Below are 13,918 nucleotides of genomic sequence, written 5' to 3'. Positions count from 1 at the left end.
TACATTTGCTCTTTTAAAACTGTCTTCTAGATCTTGTAGCTGTGCATCATTTTTAAATTCTTTTTTCTTTTTTCCTCTCACCGTGTGTTTTCAAATAGTGTGTCTTTGAGCTAACTAGTTATTTCTTCTGCCTGATCAGTTCTACTATTTAGAAACTCTGATATATTCTTCAATTGCATTTTTCAACTCCAGAATTTCTGCTTGATTCTTAATTATTTTAATTTCTTTGTTAAATTTATGTGATAGAGTTCTGAATTTCTTCTCTGTTATTTTGAATTTGAATTTCCTCAAAACAGCTATTTTGAATTCTCTTTCTGAATGGTCACATACCTCTGTTTCTCCAGAACTGGTCCCTGGTGTCTTATTTAGTTCATTTGGTGACATCATGTTTTCCTGGGTGGTCTTGATGCTTCTGGGTGTTCATCAGTATCTGGGCACTGAATAATTAGTATTATTGTAGTCTTTGCATTCTGGGCTTATTTGTACCTGTCCTTCTTGGGAGGGCTTTCGTGATATTTAAAAGTACTTGGGTGCTGTGATCTAAGCTGTATCTGCATTAGGGGACACCACAAGCCCAGTAATGCTATAGTTCTTGGAGACTCATAGAGGTACTACCTTGGTGGTCTTGAATAAGGTCCGGAAGAATTCTCTAGATTACCAAGCAGAAACTCTTGTTCTCTTCCCTTACTTTCCCCCAAACAAACGGAGTCTCTCTCTCTCTCTCGCTCTTTCTCTGTCTCTCTCTCTCACTCTCTCCTGAACTGTCTGGCATTGGGGGTATGTTGATACAAGCACCCCTATGGCCATTACCACTAGAACTGCACTGGGTCAGACTTGAAGCCAACACAGCCCTGGTTCTCACCCAAGGCCCACTGTAAGCACTACCTGACTACCACCTGTGTTGTTGGTTCAAGGCCTTAGGGCTCTGCAATCAGCAAGTGGTGAAACCAGCTAGTCCTGTGTCCTCTTCAGGGCAGCAAGTTCCCCCAGGCCCCAGGTGAGTCCAGAGAAGCTGTCCAGGAGCCAGGGACGGCAGTCAAAAACCTTAGAAGTGTAGCTCAGATGTTCTCTTCTACTGTGGCTGAGCTGGCTGTCAAACCATGAGACACAGTCCTTCCCACTCTTCCCTCCCACTTCCACAGGCCCATGGGGAGTACTGCCAGCCTACCGCTGATGTTCACTTAAAGCCTGAGGACTTTTCAGTCACCTTGTGGTAAATGCTGCCAGGCCTTATTTCACCTTTCAGGGCAGTGGGCTCCCCTCTGGCCCAAGGCAGGTCCAGAAATACCACTCAAGAGCCAAGGCCTAGAATTGGGGATCCTGAGATCCCGCTTGATGCTCTACCCTACTGTGGCTGAGCTGGTACCTAAGGCATAAGACAAAGTCCTCTTTACTTTTCCCTCTGCTTTTCTCAAGCAGAAGGAGTCTCTCACCATAGCTGCCATAGCTGGGAATGTGGTGGATCTCACCTGAAGCCAGCACATCTCAGAGTTTCACCCAAGGCCTACAGTGTACTACTTGGGATCACTGCTGATTATTCATGGCCCAAGGGCTCTTCAGTCAACAGGTGATGGATCCTTCCGGGACTGGGTCCTTCCCTTCAAGGCAATGGGTTCTCTTCTGGCCCAGGGTGTGCATCAAAATGTCATCCAGGAGCTAGAGCCTGGAATGGGGGTCTCATGCCTCTGCCCAGTGCCCTATCCTACTGTGGATGATCTGATATCCAAGATGCAAGACAAAGTCTTCCCTCTCTTCCCTCTCTTCTCTTCAAGCGGAAGGAAGAGGTCTCCTTTGGAGCCACAAGCTATGCTACCCAGGGTTGGGGAGGGGTGGAACAAGCACCCCCTTAGCTACCCCAGCTGGTGGCTCAGTAAGTTGCGTGCCCCCAAGTCCATTGGTTCTGAGCCCAGCTCAGCACTAAGACTTGCAGTCCTTGTGGCCTAGACTGTCTTTCAAGTTTATTTAGAGCCCCAGAGCACTTTAGCCCATGATGACGAGGCTTGCTGGAATTCAGATTCCAACGACTGGGATGGGAGATTCCCCACTTGCTACAGCTGGTCCAAATGTTCCCTCTGTTAGCGGGAGTTGGCTGTGTTTAGCCCAGTTTTCCTTCCTGCTGTGACAGGGCAGCACTGAGTTCAGTGCAAAGTCTGATAATCTCTGCACTCTCTCTCTCTTTCTCAAGTGCGCAGATTTCTCTGCACCAGGCAGCTGCTGGGGGATAGGGAAGGGGTGGCATTGGTGATTAAAGACTGTCTTTCCTACCCTCTTCAGTTCCTCTTTCAACAATATGAAGTTGGAACCAGATACTGTGAGTGCTCACCTGATTTTTGGTTCTTATGAGAGTCATTTTTTGTATGTAGACAGTGGTTAAATTTGGTGTTCCTACGGTGGGGGAGGATGATGGGTGGGCCTTCTGTTCCATAATCTTGCTCCACCCCTGTGTCTGAGAGTCTTTATTTTCCTTCACTTTTGAAGTATAATTTCACAAGGTACAAAATTCTGGGTTAGTGGGATTTTCTCTCAACATTTAAATAATTTGCTTCAGTCTCTTCTTTTTTGTGTGGTTTCTGAGCAGAAGTAGAATGTAATTCTTATCTTTGTTCCTCTTTAGGTAAGGTATTTTTTCCTCAGGCTTTTTTTCAGAATTTTGTCTGTATATTTTATTTCCTGTAGTTTGAAAATAAAATGCCTAGATGTCTTTTTTTGTCATTTGTCCTGTTTGATGTTCTGAGCTTCCTGAATCTGTGATTTGATATATATGACATTAATTTGGGGAACTTCTCAGTCATATTATTTGAAGTATTTTTTCTGTTGCATTACCTATTCTTCTCCTTCTGGTATTCCCATTACACATATGTTACACCTTTTGTAGTTGTCTCACAGTCCTTGGATATTCTGTTCTATTTTTTTCAGTCTTTGTTCTCTTTGCTTTTCAGTTTGGGAGGTTTCTGTTTATATACCCTCAAGGGCAGAGATTTTTTTTTTCCTCAGCTTTGTTCAATCTACTAATAAGCCCATCAAAGGTTTTCTCATTTCTGTTACAGTGTTTTTGATCACTAGCATTCCTTTTTGGTTCTTAGGATTTCCATCTCTCTGATTACTTTGCTGATCTGCCCTTGCATGCTGTCCACTTTATCCATTAGAGCCCTTAGAATAATTATCATAATCGTGATCAATTATCATAGTTGTCTTAAATTCCCAGTCTGATAATTCCAACGTTCCTGCTATGTCTAGTTCTAGTGCTTGCTCTGTGTCTTCAAATTGTATTTTCTGCCTTTTAGTATGCCTTCTAATTTTTTCTTAAAAGCTGGGCATGATGTACCAGGTAAAAGGAACTATTAGTTTCCTAATAAATAGGCCTTTAGTAATGTGGTGGTGAATTGTGGGGAGAGGGGAAGCATTATTATTATTATTATTATTATTGAGATGGTGTCTCGTTCTGTCACCCAGGCTGGAATGCAGTGGCATGATCATGGCTCACTATAGCCTTGACCCCCACCCAGGCCCAAGTGATCCTCACACCTCAGTCTCCAGAGTAGCTGGAACTGCAGGCATGTGCAACCACAGCTGGCTGATTTTTAAATTTCTGTAGAAATGTGGTCTCACTGTGTTGCCCAGACTAGTCTCAAACTCCTGGATTCAAGCAATCCTCCCGCCTTGGCATCAAAAATGCTGGGATTACAGGCATGAGCCACTGCACCTGGCTGGGAAGCATTGTTTAGTCCTATGATTGGTCTTTTAGCAAGCCTATACCTCTGGACTGTGAACTTCACAAGTGCTTCTCAGGTTTTTTTCTCCCCCATTAAGTGGGACAGGATGGCTAGAGTGGACTGAATTTGAGTATTTCCCTTCTCCGAGATCAGTTAGGCTCTGATATACCCCAGAAGGTCAGGCTGTGGTTAAGCAGTTTCTCTTGAGGGCAAGACTTGTTAAGAACAGGGTGCTCTGGCATGTTTTAAAGTGTTTTGTTTCCTCTGCCCCCTGCAAGATGCATAAAGAGATTTTGCTCCAATATTCACTGAGTAGCTAACCAAGCTCCTGGAGGCAAAACTCACAAAACTGTGGAGGCCTCCTTATGACTGGGTCCTCCTGAGTCTTTTAATTCAGACTTGTCCACACTGAGCCTCCAGTGGTTTGTCAGTTACGCTTCAGGTTTTCCTACTCCAGCATTGGTTCCCATGGTAGTTTCCACTTTTGAATCTCTGCTCTAGTAAGCTATGACTCCCTATCTTCGCCCTTCTCTCCAATTTTTGTGGCAGTGGTTTTCCCTTTTTCCTCTCGTCTCTTATAGGTCCAAGAAGAGTTACTAATTTTTCAGTGTGTTCAGCGTTTTACTTGTTAGGAGAAACTGGCAACTTCCAAGCTCCTTACATGCATAACTAGAAACCGGAAGTTCTCTTTTAAATTTTATATGCTTAAAGAAGCTTGACAGAGGGGTCAGGAAACCTGGGTCTACTCTTTTCTTCATCTGTAAAATGATGTGTCTGTACAAGATAAGTTATTTTTTAAGCTGCATTCCTTAGAACCGTGGAAATTTTGTGGCACTGCATCAGGGACTTCCAGGAAGGTGAAACTCCAAGCCTCCACCCACTCCTCGTTCAACCACAGCAGCTCAACTTTTATCTTTTATCTTTTCTTGTATATTAGACTTTTATACAACTTTATTTGAAATAAGGGTTCTAGTTCCCCCCTTCAAAAAAGCTTATAAATCACAGAGATCACCAGCTGCTCTCAAGTGTTATGACCCTACAATATAAAACCTTGTCATTGAAATCCTTTGCTGAGAGTTTATGAAGAAGTAGAAGAGAGAAAAAATATGAGGGCACTGGGAATGAGTAACTGTATCCTACAGTGGGGAAGAAGATTGTTGAAATGGTAGATTGGAGTCCTGAGCAAAAAACTTCACAATTTTGCATTTTCTTAGTTCAATTCTCAGGCACAAATAGTGTCCCTTTTTAGTTATGTTTTATAGTAAAGATTTGGAGCAGTTGGAAAATATCCTTTTCTTTATTTTTAGGAAGAAAGAAATGGATCGACTTTTGACTTGCCTGAATAGAGGTAAATATCTCCCTGGTTATATTCAGTCCTTCATCTTGCCTCTATTCTCTGTTGAATTCTCCAAGTACACTAAGCACAGCAACTTTAACCTTATGTTTGAGTTAAGCTTCATGCTCCTTATTAATCTTTGCCACAGGAATCTATTTTGGTTTCTTCATTCACAAGCAGAGAAAAGTGTGTCATCATTAGCATTCATCTCCAAATGTGATTTCAGTTCTGTTTTAATTCCTATTTGTTTTAAGGACATTTCCTTCCCTCCCTCCCTCCCGTCCCTCCCTCCCTCCCTCCCTCTCTTCCTTCCTTCCTTCCTTCTTTCTCTCCTTCCCCCTTCCCTCCCTCCTTTCCTTTCCTTCTCTCCCTTCCTCCCTTCTCTCCCTCCCTGTCCCTCTACCTTTCTTTTCTAGTAGCCACTTGATCCTAACCTAAGAATTGAACAGGTGAAAAAAGATCAAGACAAATAAAAATACTCTGAACCCTGCTGTTTTTTTCATACCCTCTGAATCAAATTCAGGTTGCATATTCTCTTATTTTGAAGCTGTCCACCCAAGTCTGTGCCATCTCCCTTATCTACTAATAATTTTTCCCTGTCCACTTTATTCAAGCTAATCTCCTAGTTGTATCACATTTTTTTTCTAACTACATGCTTTTTTACATGGCATCCCTTTTAACAGATCTCCCATTTTTACTGTCCATGTACCTCTTTCCTTATGTCCAAAACACACCAAAAAGTTCATATCTTAGAAATTCTATCCTGCTCAGTGCAGTAGTTCAATTTTATACCTCAAATACCTGTCAGCAGGGTGTTAAACATAGCAAAGTGGTTTAGAAACCAGACCACTTCTTTTCAAAAGAGAAAAACTTTGCTGGTTGGCATTCTTATTTCTCAGAAAGAGAATGCCTTCTGATAGTGATAGCACATTCTGGTTCTGTCCTGAGCTTGCTGGCTCAGTAAATATTATGCCAGCATATTGATACCCTTCTAATTTTCAATCTCCAGTTCAGTCTTTTAAACGATTGTTTCTATTTTTTATTTCCTCACATGTAAATCATATCTTTCTACCTCAGGTGGTGAATGATTGCACTAATTAAAATTATAAATCTCTCCAAAGACATGTTTGTTCCCCAGAGTTTGAGTTAACAACTTCTTGGAACTTGGTAATGCTTTCTGTCATTTTAATTACTTTTGGTATGCACCCCTACACACATACACAAAAAAGAACTTTCTAAATTCAAACTCCTGTGAGACTGTTCTTAAAGCAGGATTAAACAATTTTGCTAGAGTATAAAATAAGACCATCAGTATCAAATTTTCCTGTTTGATGCAGCCTTTGTGAAACTTTCTCAGCCTTTTGGTGAAGAAGCCTTAAGTTTGGAGTCAAGAGCTAATGAAGCTCAGTGGTTTCGAAAAACAGGTAAGAGGAAATTCTGTGGCTCTGGGAAACATTGTGGGGTGGTGGAATTAGACAGATGTGATTTCAAATTCTGGATCTTTCATTTGTAGCTGTGGGTACAGAGATAACTTGCTTAATCTGTTTTATTACTTATAAAATGGAAATAGTTATATATACTTCATGCAGTTATTAAGGGTTTTAAATGAAACAGCATATATACTTTTTTCATAGTAGATACTCAATGGACATTAGTTGTGTCCCTTTTCTATAGAAATGGGTCTAAGATGAAACTAATGAACTGTAACTACAGGTCCTCAAGGTTGTGCTCCTAAACTTGGTTTAGAATACTTAATTTTTTTTTTTTTTTTTTTGAGATGGAGTCTCGCTCTGTCGCCCAGGCTGGAGTGCAGTGGCTTGATCTCAGCTCACTGCCAGCTCCGCCTCCCGGGTTCACACCATTCTCCTGCCTCAGCCTCCCTAGTAGCTGGGACTACAGGCACCCGCCACCACGCCCGGCTAATTTTTTGTATTTTTAGTAGAGATGGGGTTTCACCGTGTTAGCCAGGATGGTCTCGATCTCCTGACCTCGTGATCCACCTGCCTCGGCCTCCCAAAGTGCTAGGATTACAGGCGTAAGCCACCGTGCCTGGCCTAGAATACTTAATTTATTTCTGAGTGTGATTGACCAAAAATGAACTATATACAACAATATGGATGAATCTCACAAACATAATGTTGAGCAAAAGAAGCTAGATATTGAAGAATACATATTGTGTTGTTCATTTTATTTATAATTTTTTAAATGGGCAAAACTAATATATGGTGTTATAAGTCAGGATAATGGTTACCCTGGAAAAGGAGTTGGACTTGAAAGTTGTAGGAGCTTCAGGGTTTCTGGTAATGTTCAAGATCTTTCTTAATGTGGGTGCCAGACGCATGGATATGTCCACTTTGTGAAAATTCATCAAGCTGTACAATTATGAGTTGTGTAATATACTTTATAATGGCTCTATTTCAATAAAAATGATTTTAAAACTTGCGGAGGCAGTTACTACAGTGATAAGTAAGCATGAGCAATTAAGCAGCAGTGCCACAAAGTGGACTGATTCTACATGAACCTCTCCCTGTGTTATGAGGTTTAATAGGGCTTTAATCCTGGGAGAAAGGGAATGAATACTGCAATCTGACTTCTAAGAAACTGATGCAAATAATGAAAAATAACAAACATTTAAAATATAGACAAGTTTGGTGACTTTAATCTTTTGAAGGTTTGAAAAGGAATGTTTTTACTTTACTGCATTTTAATTTGGATTTTCCAAGGGGAAGATGATGCTGACTGATGCCTGATGAGGGCTTCTACTGCTCTTTGGAAGATATGAATCTCTCCAGTAATTTTTCTCAACTCTTGATTACAGTGTACCTTGTTCTTAGGTGAATTTTAACTTACTTTCACCACTGCGAGTTAGTGAGCTCTATCCATGTTGATCTTCATTTTTAGATAGATTAGTGTCAATTAAGAATTTTTTTTTTTTTTGAGACGGAGTTTTGCTGCCAGACTGGAGTGCAGTGGTGGCATCATAGCTCACTGTAACCTCAAATTCCTGGTGTCAGTCTTCTGGGACTATAGTTGTGTGCCACCACACCTGGCTAGTTTTGTTTTGTTTTGGTTTGTTTTTTAATTTTTTTGTATAGACGGAGTCTCTCTCTGTTGCCCAGGCTGGTCCTGAACTCCTGGCCTCCAGCAATCCTCCTGCCTTGGTCTCCCAAAGTTCTGGGATTATAGGAATGAGCCACCAAGCCTGGCCTCAGCTAAGAATTCTTATTGCATGTCCCCAATTTTAAAAAATTCAGCAGTACCTCCCTTGGTCATTGGTCTAGTGTTGAAGATTGGAATTGACGAGGGTCTCTAAATTTACCTGGAAAATTTTTCTTTAAAACCTAAAGTTAATTGTTTAAACCTTGAGAAACCCCTTACTAGTATGTTAATATCAAAGGTGTAAGTATCAGAAATTGTAATGGTACAGACTAAATGGTAGATTTTCATAATTTCATATTATTATGTTATTTCATGTTAATTTCCAGCTTGGAACTTGGCTGTGCAATGTGACAAAGATCCAGTGATGATGAGAGAGTTTTTTATACTTTCTTATAAGGTAAGTTTCTTTTAATAAGTATCTCATGTATGGACCACAACAAGGCTATAACCACTATGGCTATAGTAAAGGGCTAAATATAGACTAGGATTGTCTCTTGATCTAGGAACTTTTAATATATATGTAAGCAGGAATGACCTAAGAAGAATTTGTTCCTTTTAGGGTATAACATAAGAATGTGGGGCATATCTTTCTATACCAAAATATCAGAAACATTCATCAGGGAGCCTAAAGTTCTACCATTTAAGACTTATTTCTTTGCCTTTGAAGGGATCTCAGCCTCCCAAAGTCCTATATTAAAATGTAAATATCTTTAGGAGGGGAATACTCTAAGTAGTTGTTAATTACCAACACATTATGAAGAGTTATGGGAATAAGTCTACAAGAACATAGAATAAGTATCTGGGGATAGCAGGGGCTGAAAAAAGAGATAAGAAGCTTAGGCCTCCTTTATAACTTTCCTATAGCAGGTCCTGAGTGTAGCGATTTGTGAGTTTGTTATTTAATTATAAGCATTTTTAAATAGTCGTTGGCCTCCAAGGTAGAGGTTAAATGCCAGAAAGAGGACCAAGTATTGACAGGAAGATAAAAGGAGAAGGACTAAAGAATATCCTTCATACACATTCAGGAATACACAGTATGATATGTTGAGATCAATTAAATGTTAAGAGTTTTAGAGCTAGAAAGAACTATAAAGACTATCTAGCACAACTCCTTCATCTCACATAAGAGTAATCAGAGACCTAAAGAGATTGGTTGTCTTAAAATGCTATTAATTTAATAACAATGATGATTATGATCACTGAATGTTTGGGGAGATTAAGAAATAGTCTTTGCAAGTTTAGGCATAACTGCCATTTTAATTAAGTGAAATAAATTGGTTTTAGTTTTGGCATTTGTGATGGGACTTGTAGGATTGGCGTGTAAGAATCCAAATGGCCTAGAGTTTTATTGTAGTAGCTGGGAGTTTTTCCTAAAACTATACAATGTTAATGATGAGGTCATGACTAATGCCTGTCAAGATTTGACAATGCCTCTTTCAACCATGACAATATATGAACTAATTTTGGCTCTATTCAATACAAAGGTGGAAATCTTATTTGCCAGGGGAAAAATCACTTACAAATTACAACATAAACCAAGAAGTAAATCACTAGATAGAAATACAAGGGCGAATGATACTACTTGTCACTGGAAAAGATAGGAATACTGTGAAGAAATGAAGCTTTTTATCTCTAGGAAGGTACTAAAAACAATGGAAAGTAATATAAAATTAAAAGCATAAATCAGTATTATAGTTTATATCATTTCTATGGTGACATGTGCTTTTCCAGCTGAATTTTCTCATTCAAACAGGAAGTTGCTGATTTTCATTCTGATTGTTTGTGTTCACCTGGCAGAATTCTCACTATTCATTGATGTTCTGGTTACTTCTTATCAGATGTCCCAGTTTTGTCCTTCTGATCAAGTAATTCTGATTGCACGGAAAACATGTTTACTTATGGCAGTTGCAGTTGATCTAGAGCAAGGGAGAAAAGCTTCAACAGCTTTTGAACAGGTAATGTGCAACCTTCAAAGAAAAGACAAGAGTTCAGTGTGCTATTTGATATGTTTGCCTTCCCTGATGCAGTTCTTTTTGATTCTCTTTAGAGAATCCTTTTCTCCACTCCAGCATCGTCTTGATTTCAAAAGTTTGTAATGGCTAATTCCTTCCTAAGCAAAGGTTACTTTTGGTGTGGCCTCTTCTTTTAAGAAGATTAGATATCTCTTCTTTTAAAATTCCCCTTCCTATGGACCACTCTTTCCAAAAATGTTTTTAAATATCTTTTATCTTCATTGTCTGCCTGTGATTATATACGCGTTTGGACTCCACTTTTGTTTCTTACCACATCTTCTAAGGAAGAACTCATCTGTTTCCATAGCTTTGATAGCCATCTGAAATTATTACTTATCTGGTTTTTCTTCTCTCAATTGCATTTGCTTTCTTTTTCCCACATCCTTAAATATCTCATTAACTTAATTTCTACAAGACAGAATTCCTTACCTTTGCCTGAATTCCCCTATCAGATTCTTAAATGTTACCCCTTTTAGGAGCTATCAATATCACCGTCTCCCATACACCAGATTATTGGTTTGCTTTTAGCTGTTTACCTTTCTTCTTTCAATCTAAGAAAATTGTCTCCAAATCAGACCAATAGCATTTTTGTATGATTTTTAAGATCTAGATCTCTCTGCTTGGTTTCTCGTACCTGGACAAAGAAAACTTCCTAATCTCCCATACTTGTCACCTTCCCTCCTCTCCAAGTAATATAAACCCTTTGCTGTTTATTCTCTTCCTCCTGTTAATCTCTTATTTCATATTGTTCTTTGGATCTGAAACAAACTCTCACCAGAGCTATGCCAACTATTTCGCTTCTTTTCCCTTCCATTGTTGAGTTCAACTCAAAAAACATTTGAGCACCAGACACTTTTCTAGGTACTGGGGATACAGAGATAAAGAAGCCAAAGTCCTTGCCTCTGAGGAGTAAAGGGGGCCCTCTTTTAAGAGTCTTTTTATTTTAAAAGAAGATGAGAAAAGACTCTACCTTCCCCAGAGCAAAATAAACAAACAAAAATTCTACTTAACAGGCAAAGGTAAATGTAATTTAATTCTCAATAGGGACTTTTGCTTTACTAAAAAATAATAATAACATCTTATTTTTATATAGTGCTTTTAAATTTCTAAAAGTTTTTCCTTTTTGGTTGGTAATCCTGAGTTTGTTTAATTTTTTATCTTAGTGAATAGAGATCAAATTGATGTGGGGGAAATTTCACAAACTCTTAAGTACAATCATTATTTTGTTTGTTTCTAACTACCGTTCTTTTTTATTCTGTGTTCTTTCTCATGTACACCTCTGTGTTTTCTCAGAACTCTCTAAACTAGTAACCTTTCTATAATCTTCTTTGCTTTTGAAAGGATGTCTATATACATAATTGAAGATGCACTTCTGCCTTTTATCATCTAAGTGTGGTCCCTATGAATCGGACAGTGGTACTCTGTCTCTCTAAAGAATACTTGTTCATGTCCTTCGCCCACTTTTTGATGGGGTTGTTTGTTTTTTTCTTGTAAATTTGTTGGAGTTCCTTGTAGATTCTGGATATTAGCCCTTTGTCAGATGAGTAGGTTGCGAAAATTTTCTCCCATGTTGTAGGTTGCCTGTTCACTCTGATGGTAGTTTCTTTTGCTGTGCAGAAGCTCTTTAGTTTAATTAGATCCCATTTGTCAATTTTGGCTTTGGTTGCCACTGCTTTTGGTGTTTTAGACATGAAGTCCTTGCCCATGCCTATGTCCTGAATGGTAATGCCTAGGTTTCCTTTAGGGTTTTTATGGTTTTAGGTCGAATGTTTAAGTCTTTAATCCATCTTGAATTGATTTTTGTATAAGGTGTAAGGAAGGGATCCAGTTTCAGCTTTCTACATATGGCTAGCCAGTTTTCCCAGCACCGTTTATTAAATAGGGAATCCTTTCCCCATTGCTTGTTTTTCTCAGGTTTGTCAAAGATCAGAGAGTTGTAGATATGCGGCGTTATTTCTGAGGGCTCTGTTCTGTTCCATTGATCTATATCTCTGTTTTGGTACCAGTACCATGCTGTTTTGGTTACTGTAGCCTTGTAGTATAGTTTGAAGTCAGGTAGTGTGATGCCTCCAGCTTTGTTCTTTTGGCTTAGGATTGACTTGGCGATGCGGGCTCCTTTTTGGTTCCATATGAACTTTAAAGTAGTTTTTTCCAATTCTGTGAAGAAAGTCATTGGTAGCTTGATGGGGATGGCATTGAATCTATAAATTACCTTGGGCAGTATGGCCATTTTCACGATATTGATTCTTCCTACCCATGAGCATGGAATGTTCTTCCATTTGTTTGTATCCTCTTTTATTTCCTTGAGCAGTGGTTTGTAGTTCTCCTTGAAGAGGTCCTTCATATCCCTTGTAAGTTGGATTCCTAGGTATTTTATTCTCTTTGAAGCAATTGTGAATGGGAGTTCTCTCATGATTTGGCTCTCTGTTTGTCTGTTATTGGTGTATAAGAATGCTTCTGATTTTTGTACATTGATTTTGTATCCTGAGACTTTGCTGAAGTTGCTTATCAGCTTAAGGAGATTTTGGGCTGAGACAATGGGGTTTTCTAGATATACAATCATGTCATCTGCAAACAGGGACAATTTGACTTCCTCTTTTCCTAATTGGATACCCTTTATTTCCTTCTCCTGCCTAATTGCCGTGGCCAGAACTTCCAACACTATGTTGAATAGGAGTGGTGAGAGAGGGCATCCCTGTCTTGTGCCAGTTTTCAAAGGGAATGCTTCCAGTGTTTGCCCATTCAGTATGATATTGGCTGTGGGTTTGTCATAGATAGCTCTTATTATTTTGAAATACATCCCATCAATACCTAATTTATTGAGAGTTTTTAGCATGAAGGGTTGTTGAATTTTGTCAAAGGCCTTTTCTGCATCTATTGAGATAATCATGTGGTTTTTGTCTTTGGCTCTGTTTATATGCTGGATTACATTTATTGATTTGCGTATATTGAACCAGCCTTGCATCCCAGGGATGAAGCCCACTTGATCATGGTGGATAAGCTTTTTGATGTGCTGCTGGATTTGGTTTGCCAGTATTATATTGAGGATTTTTGCATCAATGTTCATCAAGGATATTGGTCTAAAATTCTCTTTTTTGGTTGTGTCTCTGCCCGGCTTTGGTATCAGAATGATGCTGGCCTCCAGCCGCCCCATCCGGGAGGGAGGTGGGGGGGTCAGCCCCCCGCCCGGCCAGCCGCCCTATCCAGGAGGTGAGGGGCGCTTCTGCCCGGCCGCCCCTACTGGGAAGTGAGGAGCCCCTCTGCCCGGCCAGGACCCCATCTGGGAGGTGTGCCCAGCGGCTCATTGGGGATGGGCCATGATGACAATGGCGGTTTTGTGGAATAGAAAGGCGGGAAGGGTGGGGAAAAAATTGAGAAATCGGATGGTTGCCGGGTCTGTGTGGATAGAAGTGGACATGGGAGACTTTTCATTTTGTTCTGTACTAAGAGAAATTCTTCTGCCTTGGGATCCTGTTGATCTGTGACCTTATCCCCAACCCTGTGCTCTCTGAAACATGTGCTGTGTCCACTCAGGGTTAAATGGATTAAGGGCGGTGCAAGATGTGCTTTGTTAAACAGATGCTTGAAGGCAGCATGCTCGTTAAGAGTCATCACCACTCCCTAATCTTAAGTACCCAGGGACACAAACACTGCAGAAGGCCGCAGGGTCCTCTGCCTAGGAAAACCAGAGACCTTTG

The 13,918-nt window shown here is 39.9% G+C and overlaps 1 protein-coding gene across 7 annotated transcripts in view; it reads left to right on the top strand.

The window, feature by feature from the left end:
• The window catches only part of TEX11 (testis expressed 11), a 397,485-nt gene that overhangs the window by 293,148 nt on the left and 90,419 nt on the right, over positions 1-13,918 (top strand). For all 7 annotated transcript variants that reach the window (XM_017029649.1, XM_017029650.1, XM_017029651.2 and 4 more), the window contains 4 exons: positions 5,021-5,061; positions 6,387-6,473; positions 8,535-8,605; positions 10,047-10,163. In XM_017029649.1, the coding sequence (XP_016885138.1) occupies positions 5,021-5,061; positions 6,387-6,473; positions 8,535-8,605; positions 10,047-10,163 (316 nt within the window). The remainder of the gene's footprint in view (positions 1-5,020; positions 5,062-6,386; positions 6,474-8,534; positions 8,606-10,046; positions 10,164-13,918) is intronic.

The sequence above is a fragment of the Homo sapiens genome, chromosome X (genome assembly GCF_000001405.40).
Source record: "Homo sapiens chromosome X, GRCh38.p14 Primary Assembly".
Classification (NCBI taxonomy): Eukaryota; Metazoa; Chordata; class Mammalia; order Primates; family Hominidae; genus Homo; species Homo sapiens.
The sequence above is the reverse complement of the archived record's forward strand: the minus strand, read 5'-3'. Positions and strand labels throughout refer to the sequence as shown.